At 39.9% G+C, this 21,879-nt stretch overlaps 1 protein-coding gene across 3 annotated transcripts in view, besides 1 other annotated feature; it reads right to left on the bottom strand.

Moving 5' to 3' along the window:
* The window catches only part of COL6A5 (collagen type VI alpha 5 chain), a 139,175-nt gene that overhangs the window by 30,507 nt on the left and 86,789 nt on the right, over positions 1–21,879 (bottom strand). For all 3 annotated transcript variants that reach the window (NR_022012.3, NM_001278298.2, NM_153264.7), the window contains exons 34-36: positions 14,725–14,818; positions 13,515–14,174; positions 10,774–10,864 (exon numbers count right to left, since the gene is read on the bottom strand). Coding sequence is in view for 2 of the 3 variants with exons in the window: in NM_001278298.2 (NP_001265227.1) it covers positions 10,774–10,864; positions 13,515–14,174; positions 14,725–14,818 (845 nt within the window). In the remaining variant the exon portion in view is untranslated. The remainder of the gene's footprint in view (positions 1–10,773; positions 10,865–13,514; positions 14,175–14,724; positions 14,819–21,879) is intronic.
* Positions 11,535–12,092: an enhancer, noted in NCBI's record as "OCT4-NANOG hESC enhancer chr3:130161092-130161649 (GRCh37/hg19 assembly coordinates)". NCBI's record gives its function as "activates a minimal SCP1, AML or CMV promoter by ChIP-STARR-seq in primed H9 embryonic stem cells {active_cell/tissue: H9 hESC(primed)}" and the evidence as "EXISTENCE:reporter gene assay evidence [ECO:0000049][PMID:30033119]".

The following is a 21,879-nucleotide window of genomic DNA, read 5'->3' as shown; positions in this document are numbered from 1 at the left end:
ATCATGTCATCATGTAACAGAGGAGGCAAGCTGCATGTAGACGTTCTTCTGCAGCATGCACCATATTTTATATATTTTACCAATGTCTACCTTTTTTTGGTTTTTAAAAATTCCATTTTGACAAAGAAGAATCATTCATTGCATTAAGTTAGTGTTGAAAATTTTTGTCTCACTGAGTTTGTCTGGATTTGATGTATTAACTTGTTGTGGTTTAACAGCTGCATAAGAACTATAAGTGTATAATATTTACAGCTAGATTTGTGTTTGTAAATGTTTAAATAACATTATAATATTTTGTCTGCTGTCCTATAGGAATTGGTTTTCCTTGTAAATGACTTTATGATTTATTCAAGGTTGGGAAACACTGCTTCACATAAGATCAGTGCCACATCGTCCTTCAGAAGGTGTTGGCTGCTAGACGCTTCCCTGTAAAATTACCAAGTAAATGAAATCTGACATTAGAGGAACATATGCTTGCATGAATTCTGGAGAACTCACCTTTCCATTTTGCTCCTGGGTGTATCAAAGAGACCTTATCTGCTCTGAGAAGCTCCTTTGCTTAATTGCAATTTGAGAAGATGGGGTGATTATGGGCCTAAACCTGGGCTTTCACAGGCTATAGTCAGGGATCTAAGCTCGAAGAAGCACACAGAAAAGAAGAAAGCAACCAAGATGGGCCACTTTCACTCAGTTTGAGGGCAAAGATTCATTCAGACTAATTTGTTATATTTTTATTTAGGATACAATATCAAGGAACACTATTTATATGTGCAATTATATTGTGGAGTCTTTTATGCTAACTTTTGGGGATGAAACATGAATCATATGTAGCCTCAGACTTCAGCAAGATAAGATCTTGGGTAGGCCGTAATAAGTGCCTCAGCAGTGCTATAAAAAACAACTATGGGTTTTGATGGAGAGTAAACATTGGCTTCTGTTGCGGGAAGTCAGGGACCCCAAACGGAGGGACCCGCTGAAGCCATGTCAGAAGAACGTGGATTGTGAAGATTTTATGGACATTTATTAGTTCCCCAAATTAATACTTTTATAATTTCTTATGCCTGTCTTTACTGCAATCTCTAAACATAAATTGTGAAGATTTCATGGACACTTATCACTTCCCCAATCAATACTCTTGTGATTTCCTATGCCTGTCTTTACTTTAATCTCTTAATCCTGTCATCTCGTAAGCTGAGGAGGATGTATGTCACCTCAGGACGCTGTGATGATTGTGTTAACTGCACAAATTGTAGAGCATGTGTGTTTGAACAATATGAAATCTGGGCACCTTGAAAAAAGAACAGGATAACAGCAATGTTCAGGGAACAAGAGAGGTAACCTTAAACTCTGACCACTGGTGAGCTGGGCGGAACAGAGCTGTATTTCTCTTCTTTCAAAAGCAAATGGGAGAAATATCACTGAATTCTTTTTCTCAGCAAGGAACATCCCTGAGAAAGAGAATGTGCCCCTGAGGGTGGGCCTCTAAAATGGCCCCCTTGGGTGTGGCCGTATTCTATGGTCGAAACTGTAGGGATGAAATAAGCCCCAGTCTCCCATAGTGCTCCCAGGCTTATTAGGACAAGGAAATTCCCACCTAATAAATTTGGTCAGACCAGTTGCTCTCAAACCCTGTCTCCTGATAAGATGTTATCAATGACGATGGTGCCCGAAACTTCATTAGCAATTTTAATTTCGCCCCAGTCCTGTGGTCCTGTGATCTCGCCCTGCCTCCATTTGCCTTGTGATATTCTATTACCTTGTGAAGTACGTGATCTCTGTGACCCACACCCTATTCGTACACTCCCTCCCCTTTTGAAAATCCCAAATAAAAACTTGCTGGTTTTGCGGCTTGTGGGGCATCACGGAACCTACCGACATGTGATGTCTCCCCCGGATGCCCAGCTTTAAAATTTCTCTCTTTTGTACTCTGTCCCTTTATTTCTCAAACTGGTGCATGCTTAGGGAAAATAGAAAAGAACCTACATGAATATCAGGGGTGAATTTTGCCCGATATCTGGCTGAATTTCCCCCAATATCTGGTGCCCATGTGGTCTTTCTTTTTTCCTAAGTGCATGAGGGAACCCGATTCCCTTTGGTAGGTGCGGAGAAACGTCATCGGTTTGGTCCACAGAAACACGTGTTCGACTCCCTGACAAGTGGTGAGTAGTCTGTGTATGGTCTGGGTTAACTATGGGTCATGCAGAGTCTAAGCATCATGCTTATCTCTGCTATATTAAACTCCTGTTAAAACAGGGTGGTGTTTGAGTGCCTATGGAAAATACGGTCACTCTATTCAGGGCAGTAGAAGAACACTGTCCTTGGTTTCCTGAAAAAGGAACCTTAGATGTAGAACTATGGGATCGTGTTGGTGCAACATTCAAGGAACTGGTCTCCACAGGGAATTATATTCCCGTCACTGTTTGGGGTGACTGGGCCTTGGTACCTGCTGTCCTAATGACATACCAATCCCATGATCCCCTACAGTTACCACAATTTTCTGAATCTGACGATCCTCCACCTTTTCCTCAACCTTCCTCTCTGGCACAGCCTTCGTTACCTGATCAGCCTCTCCCTCTGGCTACTCCTCCCCTACCTGACAATGTAGAGAATTCAATGTCTAACTCGGATGACTTTGACTTACGGTCACCCCCGATGATCTTATTTCTTTTCATGAAAAGCCGGCACATGTAACTCCTGCAGCCCCGACTCACACAGCCCAGGATCATATATATGCTAATTATTCTCTTCTCAAATCTCTGGAATCACCTAGTGGCTCTGGGACCAAAGTACAATTTACCTATAATTCTGCAGGCCCTCCCCCATCCACTTCAGCTCCTCACCCTTCTGTCGTTTCGGTTCCTCAACCGGTCACTTTACCATCCACTCAGCCTGCTTCTCTGTACCCTTCTTCACATGTGAACAGCAGTAATCACCAGTATACTTCTGCTCCTTCTGCTCCTCCAATGCCCCTTTCTCACACTCTCATCCCGGTCCAACCCTCTTACCCTCAGTTTCCCTTATCTATACATGCTTTTCCTGTCACTTCTACGCCAACTCCATCTCAGATGCCTACTCTTCAAACTTCAGTGCAACACTTATTACGCCAAAACAAAGAAACAAGTGGATTAGACGCATGGACTTATCCGGTCGCGCTAGACCCACCTAACGTCCAAGGGTTACAAATGATCATTATGTACCTCTTAATCTTACCTTTTTAAAACAGTTTAAGGAAGCTTGTACTCAGTATGGTCCTACTTCTCCTTATGTTAAGATGGTTTTACAAACTTTTTGTATGGAGGTCACTTTACTTCCTTTAGATTGGGACCTTTTGGCAAAAGCTGTTCTAACCCCATCTCAGCGTTTACAATTTCATACCTGGTGGTCAGAGGAGGCCCGTTTGCAGGCTCAGCTAAATCGAAGTAATGGCATTCTAATTACTCAGGCTCAGCTCACAGGCTCCAATAGTTTCTCTGATACTTATGCCCAATTAAACTTTGATGCCCTCACCACAGAACAAGTAACAAAGGTGTGTATGAGAGCTTGGGATAAATTACGCGCTACAGACCAAGCTCCTGTTTCTTTTACCATGGTTAAACAAGGTCACTCTGAATTATACCCTGATTTTTTAGCTAAATTACAAGACGCTGTTGAAAAACCTGTCTCTGATGAGCACGCTCAAGGCATTCTCCTTCGTATGTTAGCTTTTGAAAATGCAAACCACGAATGTAAAATGGCCATGCGTTCTGTCCAACGACAAAATTTACCTGATCACAAGGTTTTGCCTGCATATATTAAAGCTTGTGAAGGCATTGGATCAGACACCCACAAAGCTATTCTGTGGGCACGGGCCATGAAGGACACCAACCAAACTGGTCCCACTAATTCTTCTCTTGGAGCCTGCTATACTTGTGGCCAACTTGGTCATACTGGAAAAAATTGCACTGTTGAAAACTTACAAGCGGCCAAGCCGGCTCAACACACATGGCCAAATGCTGCTCCTACTGTTTGCCCACGTTGTCGCAAAGGTAAACATTGGGCAAATATTTGCCGCTCTAAGTATGATATAGATGGAAACCCCCTGCCACAACACCAGGGAAACGGGGAGCAGGGCTGGTCCCAGGCCCCAACATCAAATGGGACACTTCAAACTCACACCAATGTTGCATTTCCACTTCAGGCGGTCCCAACGCAACCCCCAGCACAAACAAATCTACCTACAGCCAAACCAAATGGGTCCCAACAAACCAAATGGGTCCCAGCCTCTCCTTCTGTCTCAGTACAATGCTTGTCCACCTCCACAGTAGGAGGCGGGGTGGTTGATCTCTGTAGTACTATTCTTCTGAATTTACTACCTGATTCTTTGCCTTTGATTGTCCCCACGGGGGTCACTGGCCCTTTACCTCAAGGTTCGGTGGGCCTGGTGTTAGGTAGAGCATCTACCTCTGCTAAAGGAATCACCATTCATACTGGTCTCATTAATTCTGATTCCGTTGATGAGATTAAATTAATCGTGTCTGCCAAGGTTCCTGTTTCCATTCTGGCCGGTGAGTCAATTGCTCAATTGCTTTTACTACCTAATACCGTTTTAAACAAAGGAGATAAGGCACGTGGCCCTGGGATGGGCTCCGGCGGTGAAAAGGCCGCTTATTGGATTAATGTAATTTCTAAACAAAGGCCCACGTGCACCATACACATTCGAGGAAAAAAGTCTGAGGGCCTAGTAGATACTGGTGCTGATGTTTCTGTTATTTCCTCTAGTTTATGGCCTTCCTCTTGGCTTAAACATCCCGCTAACATGGGACTAGTAGGTGTTGGAAAGGCTGAGGAAGTTTATGAGAGCACATTTATCTTGCCTTGCACTGGCCCTGATGGTCAAAAGGGCACAATTCAGCCCTATATCATGCCAATTCCCATTAATCTTTGGGGTAGAGATTTACTGGCACAAAGGGGGACTGAAATTAATATTCCACATAACTCTTATAGTGCTCCCAGTCAGCATATGATGGAAAACATGGGGTTTGTTCCTGGACTCGGTCTCAGTCCAAAGCATGAAGGGATTACTAAACCCCTCCCAGTTACTATAAAAGAAAACAGGGCTGGTTTAGGTTATCCTTTTTAGTGGCGGCCGCTGCCACGCCTCCGAATCCTATCCCTTTACAATGGAAATCCGACATACCCATTTGGATTTAGCAGTGGCTGCTTTCTAAAGAAAAACTGGAGGCTTTAACTCAATTGGTTTCTGAACACTTACAACTTGGAAATGTGGAATCTTCTCTTTTCTCTTGGAATTCTCCTGTGTTTCTAGTAAAAAAGAAATCAGGCAAATGGCGGATGGTAACCGATTTAAGGGCCATTAATGCTGTAATTAAACCTATGGGGGCCGTCCAACCTGGCATACCTGCCCCTGCTTTAATACCTAAAAATTGGCCTCTCATAGTTATTGATCTTAAAGATTGCTGTTTTCATATTGCTTTACATAAATCAGAATGTGAAAAATTTGCTTTTACTATACCATCTATCAATAATCAGGAGCCTGCAGCTCGTTATCAATGGAAAGTACTTCCTCAGGGAATGCTAAATAGCCTTACAATCTGCCAGCTTCATGTTGGACAAGTGCTTTCACCAGTTCGAGCCCAATTTCCCAAGCCCTATATTCTTCATTATATTGATGATATTTTAATTGCTGCCCCCACTGATAAAGAATTAATTGACTGTTACCAAATTTTGAGCCGCTGTGTTACAGAGGCTGGATTACACATCACTCAGGGTACAATTCAACAGACCACTCCTGTTCAATATTTAGGAATGGTGGTCGATAAACAATGCATTCGACCTCAAAAGATTCAAATTAGGAGAGATTCTTTAAAAACTTTAAATGACTTTCAAAAACTTTTGGGTAACATTAATTATTTAAGACCTAATTTAGGCATTCCGACCTATGTGCTGTCTAACTTGTTCTCTATGCTGCTGGGAGATTCCGACCTCCGCAGCCCCAGGACTTTGACCCCTGAGGCTTTACTAGAACTGGAATTCGTAGAGGAAAGAATCCAGACCACCCAGTTATCTAGAGTACAGCCGTTTCAGCCTTTTCAGCTTCTGGTTTTCGCTTCATTACACTCCCCTACTGGACTAATAGTTCAACATAATGATTTAGTGGAGTGGTGTTTTCTTCCTCATTCTGTGTTAAAAACTTTGTGTGTTTATCTAGACCAAATAGCCATATTAATTGGACAGGCTTGGTGCAGAATACTTCAAATTTCTGGATTTGATCCAAATGTAATTGTAGTTCCTTTAAATCAGCTCAAAGTTCAAGCTGCCTTTCAACATTCCGTACTGTGGCAAATTCACTTGGCTGATTTTATTGGCATTATTGACAATCACTATCCAAAAAACAAATTGTTTGATTTTATAAAAATGACATCTTGGGTGGTTCCTAAATTAACCAAGGATCAACCCATTCCTAAGGCCATTACAGTGTTCACTGATGGCTCCAGTAATGGCAATGCCGTTATATGGGTCCTACAGACAAACTTATTTCTACCTCTTATACTTCTGCTCAAACGGCGGAGTTAATTGCTGTGATTACTGCCTTACAGGATTTCCCCAAACCTTTAAATATTGTCTCAGATTCCACTTATGTTGTACATGCCACTAAAAATATAGAAACTGCTACTATCAAACATATTGATAATTCTGAATTGGCTTCTTTATTTTCAAGGTTACAACACGCGGTTTGCCAACATAGACACCCTTTCTATATTACACATATTAGATCTCATACCACTTTACCAGGACCCATGTCTGCCGGTAACCATAAAGTCGACTGTTTGGTCTCTTTTACAATCCAAGAAGCTCAGGAGTTCCATAATCTCACTCATGTCAATGCCGCTGGATTAAAAGATAAATTTGCTCTCAGCTGGAAACAGGCTAAGTTTATTGTTCACAGCTGCCCTCAGTGCCAGGTCTTCGTACTTCCAAATCAGGGACCTGGCGTTAATCCTAGAGGCCTAACTGCTAATGCTTTATGGCAAATGGATGTGACTCGTGCTAGCTCCTTTGGTGGACTGTCATATGTGCATGTCTCTGTAGATACCTTCTCAGGTTTTATCTGGGCTACTTGCCAAACAGGGGAAGGCATGACCCATGTTAAAAAACATCTGTATTCTTGCTTTGCAGTTTTGGGGCTACCATATCAAATAAAGATAGACTATACCGCTGGATATGTTAGTAAGGCTTTTGATTCATTTATGCAACAGTGGGGAATTTCCCATATTACTGGAATCGCTTACAATCCTCAGGGACAGGCTGTGGTGGAACGGGCCAATCGCACTTTAAAAACCCAATTGTCCAAACAGTCTGAACAACCAAAACATGATTTAACTACTCCCCACTCCCAATTACATTTGGCATTGTTTACTCTAATTTTTTTAAATGTTCCTAAAGATAATACTCTAACTGCAGCCAAACGCCATTATACAGGCAAAAAATTCTCCTTAAACGAAGACAAGCCAGTGTTATGGAAAAACTCCCAAACCAATACCTGGGAACCTGGAACAATTATAACGTGGGGAAGATGATATACTTGTGTTTCACCGGGAGATCATCAATCCCCTGTCTGGGTACCCACCAGAAGACTCAAGCTTCAGGTGAATACTGACAATGAAAACCACAGAGAAAAGACGTCTGTGTCAGAGACTGCCCTCAGACGTGGTGAGATCTGTGCCGACTCCACAGAAACAGGCACACCAAATCACAATGGGTTTAAATCAGTCCTCCCTGATGGCAATGGAGACCGATCTAACTAATCCCACTTCTCCTGATTACCTTTCTTTTTCTTCTTACAAACCTAAAAATCTCACCATTTCTATTAGCCTGAAAATAACATCCCTCTGTTCTTCTCTTCCTCCTTCAGCACTGAATCTCACTTACACTAGGTTTTATTTAATGATTCTCCTCCTTATACTTTCTGTCTCACCAGTTTCCTCTCACACTGATTTACCTGCTACACATAATTATTCTTATTGGGCTTATGTGCCTTTTCCTCCACTTATTCGACCTCTCACCTGGATAGATGCTCCTGCAGAAATCTACACTAACGATAGTGTGTGGATGCCTGGAGCAAGAGATGACCATTGCCCTGCTCAACCAGGAGAAGAAGGCACTGCATTTAATGTTACCATGGGTTATAAATACCCCCCTCTGTGCCTCGGACATGCACCTAGTTGTATCCCTCTAGAAACTCAAGTCCAGGCTGTTTATCTTCCGGAAAGATCAGCTACAGATAAAATGGGACATTTGGTCTCTGGCCTCTCCATTTCTCCTTTAAAACAAATGAAAGGAGGAGTAATGGGAGATACCCCATACTTTCAATATAAACCTGCAGGAAAACCATGCCCTAAAAATTTTGAGGGCCCATCTAAAACTTTAATTTGGGAAGACTGTGTTAACTCACATGCAGTAATATTAAAAAATGACTCACATGGTTTAGTAACAGACTGGGCACCAAAGGGCTATTTAAAAAACAATTGCTCCTCTGGCAGAAGGGAATGCCTGGAGGCTACTTATTTTATTTCTTATCAGGAGAACGAGAATCATCATTCTGCTTTGCATAGGAGGTTCAGCTCATTCTTTCCCTTAAAATGCGAAGATAAAGGCATTATCCCCCCCGCACCAGGCCTCATATGATACTCCCCATTCTGAGCCCAGAACACCCAGAACTTCGGAAATTGGCAATTGCCATGTCTGGACTGCGAGTATGGGAAGGGAAAACTATTCTGTCTGTTGTTCCCACTACTGTCCCACTCTCTCAGTATCAACGTAGATCCAGACATTCTGCCTTACTTACCTCCAACCTGACTGTTCCCATACAGAGTTGTGTTAAGCCTCCTTACATGCTGTTAGTGGGAAATATCAAAATTTGGACGAATAATCAAACTGTCCAACGCATTAATTGTCATTTAAACACTTGTATTAACTCCCATTTTGACTCCAGGAAAAGTGTAATGTTGGTTCGAGCTCGAGAAGGAATCTGGATTCCAGTAACTTTGCCCAGACCTTGGGAATCCTCCCCCTCAATACATTTAATTAATGAAGTGTTACAGTGAATTCTAAAAAGATCTAAGATTTGTTTTCACTTTAATTGCTGTTATCATGGGCCTAATTACAGTCACTGCAATGGCCACCACTGCCAGAATGGCATTACACCAATCCATTCAAATGGCTCATTTGTTAATGATTGGCAAGCCAATTCCACCCAAATGTGGAATTCTCAACAAGGCATCGATCAAAAATTGGCAAATCAAATTAATGATTTAAGACAGTCTGTTATTTGGCTTGGAGATCAGGTAGTGAGTCTCGAACATCACATGCAAATGCAGTGTGATTGGAATACTTCGGATTTCTGTATCACCCCGTATTCCTATAACAAGACTGATCATTCATGGGAAATGGTCAAAGGACAACTTCTAGGTAGGGAAGATAACTTATCATTGGACATAACTAAATTTAAAAAACAAATTTTTGAATCCTCTCAAGCTCACTTATCCATCATGCCTGGAGCTGAGGTGTTAGATCAGGTGGCAGAAAATCTTTATGGATTAAACCCCACGACTTGGATTAAGTCTATTGGGGGCTCCACTGTAGTAAATTTTGGAATTATGTTTCTCTGTTTAATCGGCTTGTTTTTAGTGTGCTGGACCAGTCAAAGAATCCTGCCTCAAAATCGAGAGAACGACTAAGCCTTCATCACCATGGCACATTTATATAAAAAGAAAGGGAGAGATGTTGCGGGAGGTCAGGGACCCCAAACGGAGGGACCGGCTGAAGCCATGGCGGAAGAACGTGGATTGTGAAGATTTCATGGACATTTATTAGTTCCCCCAAATTAATACTTTTATCATTTCTCATGCCTGTCTTTACTGCAATCTCTAAACATAAATTGTGAAGATTTCATGGACACTTCTCACTTCCCCAATCAATACCCTTGTGATTTCCTATGCCTGTCTTTACTTTAATCTCTTAATCCTGTCATCTCGTAAGCTGAGGAGGATGTATGTCACCTCAGGACCCTGTGATGATTGTGTTAACTGCACAAATTGTAGAGCATGTGTGTTTGAACAATATGAAATCTGGGCACCTTGAAAAAAGAACAGGACAACAGCTATGTTCAGGGAACAAGACAGGTAACCTTAAATTCTGACTGCTGGTGAGCCGGGTGGAAAACAGCCATATTTCTCTTCTTTCAAAAGCAAATGGGAGAAATATCGCTGAATTCTTTTTCTCAGCAAGGAACATCCCTGAGAAAGAGAATGCGCCCCTGAGGGTGGGCCTCTAAAATGGCTTCAATCTGGGTCATGAAAGATGCCTAGGGTTTCACCGAATGGAGCAAGAGTCCCAGGCAGTGTGAAATGGAATAATTCACACAAGGCAGGTAAGAGTTCAGTGTGACCAGAACTCATGGTTGGGAGAAATGAGAAGTGAGGTTGAGGTGGATCGAAGATAAATTGTGGGTTCTATTCTGGGGTAAATTTCAATACAGGAATTTCTGAAGAAACCATGAATTTAAAGGCAAAATTGTAATTAAGCTTATGATGTTATAAAAACAAATTGGAAATCATACTTGATATGTAATTTCTGCTATGGAAAATGGAATACATAAAATGTCTACTTCAGAGACCTTGTTAGCATCATCAGCCTAATAAAGTGTTATTAACCAGTTATACTCCCATCAGCCAATTAGCAGTCACTTGTAAATATAAGAGCTTTCTAACTTACTGGAAACCATCATTTTGAATATTCTCTCCTCCTAAATTGATGAGTCTACAGGCATCCTCAAGCATCGGTGGTGGGTACTGATTGAATCCCCCTATTGAGAGAACAAAGTTATAGTTAGATTTTAAAACTGGAAATGATGTTTCCTAGGTAAAGAGAATCCCAACAGGAATCCTCTTGAAGCAACTAATGTCACTAACATATTTCAGCAAAATTTGGCTGGGGTGAAAACAGAAAACAGCAGTTAGAAATAGCACTCAAAATTTGATTTCAGAGTGTTTTAGCAGCCAAAGGATTACCAGAGTCATGGAAACAGACCTCCTCAAATTGTTCATCTAAGAGCTAGTTGTGATGCAGGGAAACATGATTTTCACATGCTCAGGCTAACATAATCTAAGAGATACTCTATTCTGATTCATCAAAGGTTTTTCACCCAGACTTACGCTAACGGATCAAACAGAGACAAGGTAATGTTTCATTACTTGATACTGATATCATTTCTGTGCTTCTGCACCCACTAATACTGATTCCTATGAGGAAAAGAATCATAGACAAGATTTTACCTTACTGGTCTAAATAATATGCCTATTTATCCCCTTCCTGATGTTGTTCTATAAATTTTGGAATATGGAGAAGTATGTTACCCTGTCCCATTCTGGAAAATAAAAGATTTTAGTTAAAGAAGGCCTTCAGCCATTGACTGATCCAAGGATCTATGAAAATATCTCAAATAACATCTGTAGTTTTATAATAATCACATTTTCAAATACTAAGATAAGCATTTCTTTCCTTTTTTCTATTTCTTTAAAATGAAAATATATCTTCTGATTAATTGCATCTGACACTTACTGTTGGGTGGGCAAGAATTGTGATGCAGTGGTCATTGCCTGTGCATGTGGGAACAGCAAACATGCCAGCACCAAAACTTGTAGAATTGGGGAGAGCAGTTTGAAAACATTCCCATAAATACCAGCAGAGGAGCCTTTTCACTCCTACAAACCAAGTGGTTGTGGGAAGGCAGCGAATTGGGTGTGTTTAACACTTCCCAGCTGGAAGTCAACAGTAGGCTACTTCTACATGATTGCAAAGCCACTTAACAGCCCAGCATGACCATCTTTGAGTTGTTTTATAGTCTTTTACAAATATTGCATAATCATCAATCTTAATGGCACAAAGAACAAAATTGCATAGAAAAAAATGGATACCAATGACTCTGAGCCAAGAAGTAGCTCACAAGAGTCAAATTCTGAATCAGAAGTTGTTTTAGGAGTGCCTTAACCTGCCTATTTCACATAGATTTTCTTTTTATGCATGCACAGGAGTGATATATTTACTATACATCCAAAAGAACTCTTTCAATTGCTATAAAACAAAATGCTCTAATAGGAAAGTTGGTATCAAAATTTAATTGGAAACATTTTTTTCCTTTACATTATACAATTGAGGGCATCTTAGATGTAAAGAAATAACAGTGTTCCCAAGAGGGCAATTATTGGATTCTTTAATTGAATATGAATCACAGGAGAAAGGTGGAGCTCTCCTTGCAATGAAGAGTGAAGGCTCAAGACATTATCACTGTGGTGTTGTGGGGTGATCCTTTGAATAGCAAGGAAACTGGGATTGTAGAGTGGTGGAATTAATTCCAGCCAAGTTTACTTCTAAACCTGTCAGATTTCCAGAAAGAAAAGGTTCAGCTCTGATTCTGTGGGATATTATGGAGAAGTGTTTCTCAACATCAGTGTTATTGACTTTTGGGGATGTATTATTCTTTGTTGTGGTGGGGGGTCTGTCCTGTGAATTGTAGGATGTTTAGCAATATCCCTGACCTCTATTTACTTGATACTAGTAGCATCCCCAAGTTGTGACTGTCAAATAATGCCTCCAGGCATTTCCAAATGTCCCCTGGGGCAAATTGTGCCATATTGAGAACAATTGCTCTAGAAGAGCATTTTTCCAAACCATCTGTGATAGAGGACGAGGTATTCTTATTTCTAGTTCTTTGCAGACTGATACATCCTGTTCAATGAGACAGAGTCCACTGGTCATGCAACTGTACGCTGCAGCAATCAATGTCAAATTGCCTTAAAAGTTTCTAGATGTTTACTCTCAATTTGTGTGTTTATTTCTTTATACATCAATTTGTAGCCTGGCACTCATGCAATGAGCAACCCTTTGTAGTGCACTGGCCTAGAGCCATGTGATCCATGAACCAGCAGCATTGACATTACTGCAGTATCTGTTAGAAATGTAGAATCTCAGGCTTCACCCTAGATATCCTCAGTAAGAATATCCTGCATTTTAACAAGATTCCTGGGTGATGTGCATGCCCAGGACTTTGCTATCTTCACATCCTCACACAGGTCTCCAGGGTGTGCCAAAGTTGGAAATAAAACAGGTATAGCAAGTAAAACTTTTACGTGAATGTTCTTCTGAAATCACCTAACTGCTGCTAGAACTTCTTGAGCAAATGTGATTCATACGACCTCTAGTCACTCTGTGGCTTTCTAGTGCTGAGAGTTTGGCTAAAAGACACACTATCATAAAAAAAGGCCTCAGGCCTCACCATTTTGTGACCAGGATATAAACAGGGTATAACCAGCAAATGATCCATTCCTGCCCCTATCTCACCATCTAATTCATAAATTATGTTTAGATTAGCTATAGATACAAAAATAGGTTATCAATACTGTATTAACAAACACTAGCTTATTAAAAAAAAGACAAACAATGAAATAATAACTTACGCCTGACCGAGTATAAAAATGGCTTTAAGAACTTCGCAATATAATTCAGATCTGGTTTATGTATTCTCCCAAGCTGTATCAGGTGTTGATCAAGTGGGTAGCTGGCTAACTCCTCCATGTCATCCTTACGTGTAGAGCCCAGAGAAATCACAAATATGACGTAGCCTTGACACTTAGCCCTCAAAGCCATCATTTTTACAAATTCTTTTCTCTCATAATTTTCTCCAGCTGAGACCACAAAGATGACCTTGTGTTTTCTTAGATAGGGTGTTTCTGGAAAAAGATTTTCAGTGGTCCACAGTAGGGCACGACCAATTGTTGCTTCTCCATTTAGCTGTTGGAAGGAAGTCTGGATGTGATTCTTCATTAGGAGTTGGTTGTCATAAGTGATGAAATCAAACTCTGTTTTTACTGTACCCATCTTTCTCCTGGAACTTTCCCAAGGAGAATAGCTCAACAAAGCAATCCTATCACCAGAGTCTGAGATTAAAGGGTCTGAAGCAATGTTGAAGTTGTCAATCACTGAGCTCACCAAGGCTTTCACAGCCTTAAACTCATCCTTTGCTATATTCCGAGAATTGTCTATGAGGAAGACTACATCCATGTATGAATCTTCAGGTAAGAAAGCCTCTCGAATGCAAGCATTTGGAAAACATTTATCTGAAAACACACAGAGAGACACATCATTGGTTCAACACTGACCCAACAAGACACTTGTTTGAGATCTTCAAGTGACTCAGTGACTAATTACCAAGAATTATAATTTGATCAATATCTCTTTGATCTCACATAATTTAAATTAATGAGAAATTTTCAATGTCCCGGTACTTCTCCGGGCACTAGCAGACAATAAGGGAAGGGCTTTGTTGAAAGCAGATGTAGGTAGCACAGATACCTGCAGTGTACAAGTCATGTCCAAGCTCATTTAGGAAATATTTTTGATATTTTAGAGACTTCTGATACAAACTACCCAATTGTCCCCAAGAAATGCTACATTGGTTGGGATAATTTTCTAAACCAATTTTCACATTCTATGGAAACTCCAAACATTCCAGAGATTGAAACCATGACATATGGTATTGAAAAACTAGAAAACTGAAAATAGAACCTATGATTAAAAATAGAAATCTCTGGATAAAACCACATTCAATAACTCATCTAGAAGGCATTTAAGCTCTTCAGCACAGTCAATTCTCTTCATTGGTCTTACCATAGCAAAGTGCACAGCGCCGAAGTCTTTCTAATGTTTGATTTTCCCCATTTGGAGGAACTGGAATCACCTGAAATGTTCCAGTGTTGTCAAACTGCATTGGAAAAGAAGTGAACGCATGTTTGCTCATTGTTTTTAGTCACTAGTAGGAAACCACTTTAAGGATTAGTTTAAAAAACACCCAACTAATCACTATTACCTTGCATTATAGCTCTTTGCTCCATTCAGTGCATGTTCACACACACACACACACACACACACACACACACACACACAATCCCCTGCTTATCCCAAACATAACACAAAAAGTATCTATAGAACAAGTATCATCATCCCTAGATTATGATGAGAAAACTGCCATGAGATAACCTGACCAGATTCACTCACTGGGGCAAGTATTAAAATCTATCATTTCCAAGCCTGCAATTCTGGACTAAATTTGTACACACTTCTGATTATGCACCAGCTGATTATACACCACATGCCAGCTTTTGAAGTTGGGCCCTGCAGAAATTGTACGTTCCCAAGCTTCCTTTGGCCTCCGTGGGTAGTGATCCCAACTATTTCCAGTCCACTCTATCTAGAAGAAGGCACATCTCTCAGTTGTCAAGAGGACCCTCTCAATCACAAATTCCACTTAAAAGTCTATTTCAAAAAGCAATGGACAGAATTTTATTCAAAATTCCTGGTGGTACACTGTCTGATTTCTTATTTCCTGATTACTTTTTAAAATACTTTAATACTCACTGTAATGGGCAATATACAGCACTCATTCATTCATTCAGTGAGTCAATAACTCTTTATTGGGCATTTACTCTATGTGAGGCACCATGCAAAACAGATACTTTTATTATGAAAGAAATCTATCATTCCCAGGTGGTGAGGAGGCTATCTCTCCATCAACAAAGATGTTCATGCTTTTTCTCTTTCTCTCTGAGCAAATTAAAGGGCTAGAAAATCCAAACCCTCTGTTTTTCTGTAAAGTGCTGAATCAACATTGGAAAATATTTATAATCATTCCAGCCATATGTTTAGAAACTATTTACTACATTCCTACTCTCTATTTTTATTAAATTGGATGCTTTGGGTGTTATTTTGTATTTGACCTTGTTGGTCCCACATGTAAAGACTAGATGTTGACCTGGTAAACCAAGGAAGTTTATTCATAGGAGTAAACCCCATGCTCTTCATTCATTCATTCATTCATTCACTCATTCACTCATTCATTCAACAAATATTTATTGAATGCCTACAATGTTATAGGTGTAGTTCTAGGTTCTGGGGATATGAAAATAAATGAAACAGATAAAACCTCTATCTTGGCCTGGCGTGGTGACTCATGCCTGTAATCCTAGTACTTTGGGAGGCCAAGGCAGGTGGATCACGAGGTCAGGAGTTCAAGACTAGCCTGACCAACATAGTAAACCCCGTCTCTACTAAACATACAAAAATTAGCCAGGTGTGGTGGCATGTGCCTGTAATACCAACTACTCAGGAGGCTGAGGCTGAAGAATCGCTTGAACCAGGAGGCCGAGGTTACAGTGAGCCAAGATCGTGCCACTGCACTCCAACCGGGGTGACAGAGCGAGACTTTTCTCACAAAAACAAAACAAAACAAAAAAGCAAACAAAAAAAACCCCTCTATCTTACGTTCTAGTGGGAAAGCTATATCATCAACATAATAAAAAAGTAAATTATTTAGTATGTTGGGAAGTAATACTTTTTATAGAAAAAAAACAAAGCAGGATAATAGGGATGGGAAAATCTGAGATAACATTTAAGTAGAGCCCACTGATAACATGACATTTAAGCAAAAATTCAAAGAAGAGGGAAGATGGAGAAAAGAATTTCTGGCATAGGAAATAGCCAGGTGAAAGCTCTGGGGAAGCGAGGGGAATGCCTAGCTTGTGTGAGGATCAGCAGGGAAGACAGCGTGTCTGGGATGGAGTGAGAGAGAACAAGACAAGGAGAAGGTGAGATCAGAGAGTTACTAAGAGGGATTGGGTGGTAGATCATTTAGAGACTTGCAAGCCATTGTAAAGACCTTAGCTTTAACTCTGAGAGAAATGATAAATTGCAGAGTTTCAGGTAGAAGAGTAACCTGGGGGTTTAATAAGATTATTCTAGCTGCTGTGTTCAGACAGACTGTAGCAGGCAAGAATGAATGCAAGGCCACTAAGGAAAAGGTGATTGCACAGTCTAGGCAGAAGATAATGGTGGTTTGGATCAAGATGTCAAAGATAGAGACACTATGAAGTGGTCAAATTCTGGATATATATTTTTTATAAATAATACCAAGATTAGTACTTATATCAATACTTAATACTAGTACTTAAATGAATGCTATATTTACCAATAAGTACTAATATACTTTATTGCACATATGTACACTTTAGTGTATATATGTACATATATGCACTTTTGTATACACGAACACACACAAACACACATATATACGCACACATTAAAGTTAAGATGTTGGATATAAGAAGAGATGAGGAATCATAGATAACTGCAAGTAGAAGAATGGGATTTTTATTAGCTGTGATGAAGAGGGCTGTACGTTGTACAAGTTTTGGGAAAAAATTAGAAGCTTCATTTTAGATGTGGTTAAGTTTGAAACATCCATTAGCATGCAAGTGGAAGTATTGAATAGGCTGCTCTGTGTATGAATCTAGAGTTCAAGGATGCAGTCTGGATGAGAGATAGACATATCATTGAGGACATTTAAAACCCTGAGTCTGGATGAGAGTGTCAAGAGATTGCATAAGGATAGAGAAGAGGGCTAAAGAATGGGCTTTGGGCAATACCGACATTCTGAGGCCAAGGTGATGAAGCCGAATCAGAAAATTAGACTGAGAAGGGACAATTAATGAGGTAAGAGAAAAACCAGGAAGATGAGGTATACTAAAAGTCAGCCAAAAAAAGAAAATGTTTCCCAGAGAAAGGCAAGATCAACAATGTTGTATACTGCAAATAAGTCCAGGGAGCTGCAGACAGAATCAACAGAATCAACCACTGGGTGCAGAAACATGAAGATCACAGTTGACCTTGACATGAGCAATATCAGGAGAGTAGTAGGAATCCAAATGTGACTGGGATTATCTCAAGAAAGAATGCTAGGAGAGGCACTGGAGACAGCAAATATAGACAATGTTTTTTTTCCCTAGGAGATTGCTATATGGGAGCCAAGAAATGAAGGAGTAGCTGAAAATCTAGGTCAGAAAGTTGTTTTATTTCTCTCTCCTGATTGGAATAATGTAGCAGAGAAGGAAAAAAATCCATCTATAGTAGACAGAGGGTCTCTGCCAGCAATAAAACTAATAAATAATACTAATACTAAATAATATAATAATAAATAAATGATAATATATTAAACTATTAAAAGTAATAAAATAGGGGAATGTGAGCAACTAATAACTCTATCCATTTTATCTAACTTCACAAGAGGAAAGATCATGGGTAATTTTTAAAAAGATATACTCTACAGAGAAAAATCAGATTTATAGAGATTTAACCTGCTAATACTTTTTTAAAAATTTAGAAATTTCTAGAATATCAGTAGGGCTTTGCAAGTTTAAATTCCACTTGAGATTGGATCCAGGAGAAAACGGTAAGGCTAACTCTCTCACCACTCCTGTTCAACATATTATAGGAAGTTCTGGCCAGGTCAATCAGGCAAGAGAAAGAAATAAAGGATATTCGAATAGGAAGAGAGGAAGTCAAGTTGTCTGTTTGCAGACAACATCATTGTATATTTAGAAAACCCCATCATCTCAGCCCATAAACTTCTTGAACTGATAAGCAACTTCAGCAAAATCTCAGGATACAAAATCGATGTGCAAAAATCACAAGAATCCCTTTACACCAACAATAGGCAAGCAGAGAGCCAAATCATGAGTGAACTCCCATTTACAATCACCACAAAGAGAATACAATACTTAGCAATACAGCTAACAAGGGATGTGAAGGACATCTTCAAGGAGAACTACAAACCACTGCTCAAGGAATTAAGAGAGGACACAGATGGAAAACATTCCATCCTCTTGGATAGCAAGAATCAATATTATGAAAATGGTCATACTGCCCAAAGTTATTTATAGATTCAATGCTATTCCCATTAAACTACCATTGACATTCTTCACAGAATTAGAAAAAGCTATTTTGAATTTCATATGGAATCAAAGAAGACCCCATATAGCCAAGACAATCCTAAGCAAAAAGAACAAAGCTGGAGGCATCATGATACCTGACTTCAAACTATACTACAAGGATACAGTAACTGAAACAGCTTGGTACTGGTACCAAAACAGACATATAGCTCAATGGAGCAGAATAGAGACCTCAGAAGTGACACCACACATCTAGAACAATCTGATCTTCGACAAACCTAACAAAAACAAGCAATGGGGAAAGGATCTCCTATTCAGTAAATGGTGCTGGGAAAACTGGCTCGCCATATGCAGAAAACTGAAACTGGACCCCTTCATTACACCTTATACAAAAATCAACTCAAGATGGATTAAAGACTTAAACGTAAAACCCAAAACCATAAAAACCCTAGAAGAAAACCTATGCAATACCATTCAGGACATAGGCATGGGCAAAGACTTCATGACTAAAACACCAAAAGCAGTTGCAACGAAAGCCAAAATTGACAAATGGAATCTAATTAAACTAAACAGCATCTGCACAGCAAAAGAAACTATCATCAGAGTGAACAGGCAACCTACAGAAATGGAGAAAATTTTTGCAATCTACCCATCTGACAAAGGTCTAATATCCAGAATTTACAAGGAGCTTAAACATATTTGCAAGAAAAAAACCCAAAAAACCCCATCAAAAAATGAGCAAAGGATATGAAGAGACACTTCTCAAAAGAAGACATTTATGTGGCTAAGAAACATATGAAAAGAAGCTCAACATCACTGATCATTAGAGAAATGCAAATCAAAACCACAATGAGATACCATCTCATGCCAGTCAGAATGGCGATTATTAAAAAGTCAGGGAACAATAGATGCTGGCAAGGCTGTGGATAAATAGGAATGCTTTTACACTGTTGGTAGGAATGTAAATTAATTCAACCATTGTGAAAGACAGCATGACGATTCCTCAAGGATCTAGAATCAGAAATACTATTTGACCCAGAAACCCCATTACTGGGTGTATATCCAAAGGCATATAAATCATTTAACTAGAAAGAGTCATGCACACATATGTTTATTGCAGCACTATTTACAATAGCAAAGACATGGAACCAACCCAAATGCCCATCAATGATAGACTGGATAAAGAAAATGTGGTACATATACACATGGAATACTATGCAGCCATAAAAAGGAATGAGACCATGTCCTTTGCAGGGACATGGATGAAGCTGGAAGCCATCATCCCCAGCAAACTAACACAGGAACAGAAAACCAAACACCGCGTGTTCTCACTCATAATTGGGAGTTGAATGTTGAGATCACATGGACACTGAGAGGGAACAACACACACCAGGGCCTGTCGAGGGGTGGGGGTTGAGGCGAGGAAACTTAGAAGATGGGTCAATATGTGCAGCAAACCACCATGGCACATGTATACCTATGTAACAAACCGGCATGTTCTGCACATGTATCCTGTTTTTTTTGTTTTTGTTTTTTTTTTTAGAAGAAATAAAAAAAAAGGTAAGGCAAACTATTTTAGAGCAGACTTGCCAAAAGAAATAATAATGCCAAAAACAAGGGATACAAGGGATGTGAGGTGAGTTTCACAGAAAAATAAAAATGGGCAATAAACATATGAAAAAATGTTTAACCTCACACAGGAATATAATCAAAACAACAAGAAACTCTTATTTACCTACCCAATCGGCAAACATTTAAAAAGCTCAATAGGTAAAATCCAGTGTGGGTAAGTATGAGGGGAAACAGACACTCTCAGACACCAAGGGTAGCAGCTCTATGCCTTCAGATTTGAAGCAGTGAGGACTTGATGAAGAGGATTGGAAGGAGGGAATTGAGAGAGGGGGACAGAGAGGAGGATGTCCTGAGTGGAGAAGAGTGCAAGGCAGGGAAGAATAAAGAATGACTAAAGGGAGCACTGCTCAAGGCGTGATATGCAGTCAGAATGACTGTGTGGGGTTATTATCTGGCAAGAGCAGAGTGATGAGAACCAGATAGCTTCCTGGGTCACCTTCTCTGTAGATATGATGCAAATTTAAAATGATTTGTTAACAAGAATGACTGGAGACTCTTTCTCATTGGGGATTCTGAGGGCTTTGGTGCAGTCCTATCTGAAGATAAGGATTAAATTTGATGTCTTATTAAGATTTCTTGTATTCTGGAATTTTATGCAACTCTCAAAGCTGAAAGTCACTTATTTTCCCCAGAGAGAAAAATTAAGGAGGCAGAAAAATTTCAAAAAGAAAAACTGAAAACCACAGGACTTTGACTTCCTGCAATCCTTTTTGTCAGGATCTGTTGTAACTCTCTGTGGCTCCTATTTCCAAAAAACGCTTGGATGTGTTAGGAACAGATTGATTCTCTCCATGTTATAGAGAGATTCTTTCTCTTTATATGGTAGAAATTGTACATTTTTTATAAAAATAGACCTTTATAATCTCTTGAAGGACATGATGGCTTTACACAGCTCCAGAAGAATGTATTTTATGGATAATCTGAATATACTGAAAAGTTGTTGAACAGATGAAGAGGTTTTTAAGTTTCTTAGGAGGAAGGGAAGGGGAGCACTGATCCCTTGAGAATCTGTGGATCCAAAAGTGACAGGACCTCTTTTGGGAAAAATGTTCATATACATCAAATGTTTTGCACCACCATAGGGGTTCAAAGATCCCCTGAACTTCTTCCATCACTGGTTAAGGCCAGCTGTTCTGTGAGCAACAGCAAGCAGATAACAAATTTGAGAAACACCAGAGCAGTAGAGGGCTGGCAGGGCAGCATGTTCATGGTCCTTTCTATCACATAGACCTAAGTTCGAATCTCAATTTAGCCACTTAGTAGTGGTATATAGTTAAGTCACTAGAAATCCTCTGGGCCTCAGTTTCCTTTTTTTTTTTTTTTTGACAGAGTCTTTCTCTGTTGCCAGGCTGGAGTGTAGTGGCGCCATTTCGGCTCACCACAACCTCCAACTCCCTGGTTCAAGTGAGCC

The sequence above is a fragment of the Homo sapiens genome, chromosome 3 (genome assembly GCF_000001405.40).
Source record: "Homo sapiens chromosome 3, GRCh38.p14 Primary Assembly".
Classification (NCBI taxonomy): domain Eukaryota; kingdom Metazoa; phylum Chordata; class Mammalia; order Primates; family Hominidae; genus Homo; species Homo sapiens.
Note: the sequence above shows the minus strand (reverse complement) of the source record. Positions and strands in the feature narration are given on the sequence as shown.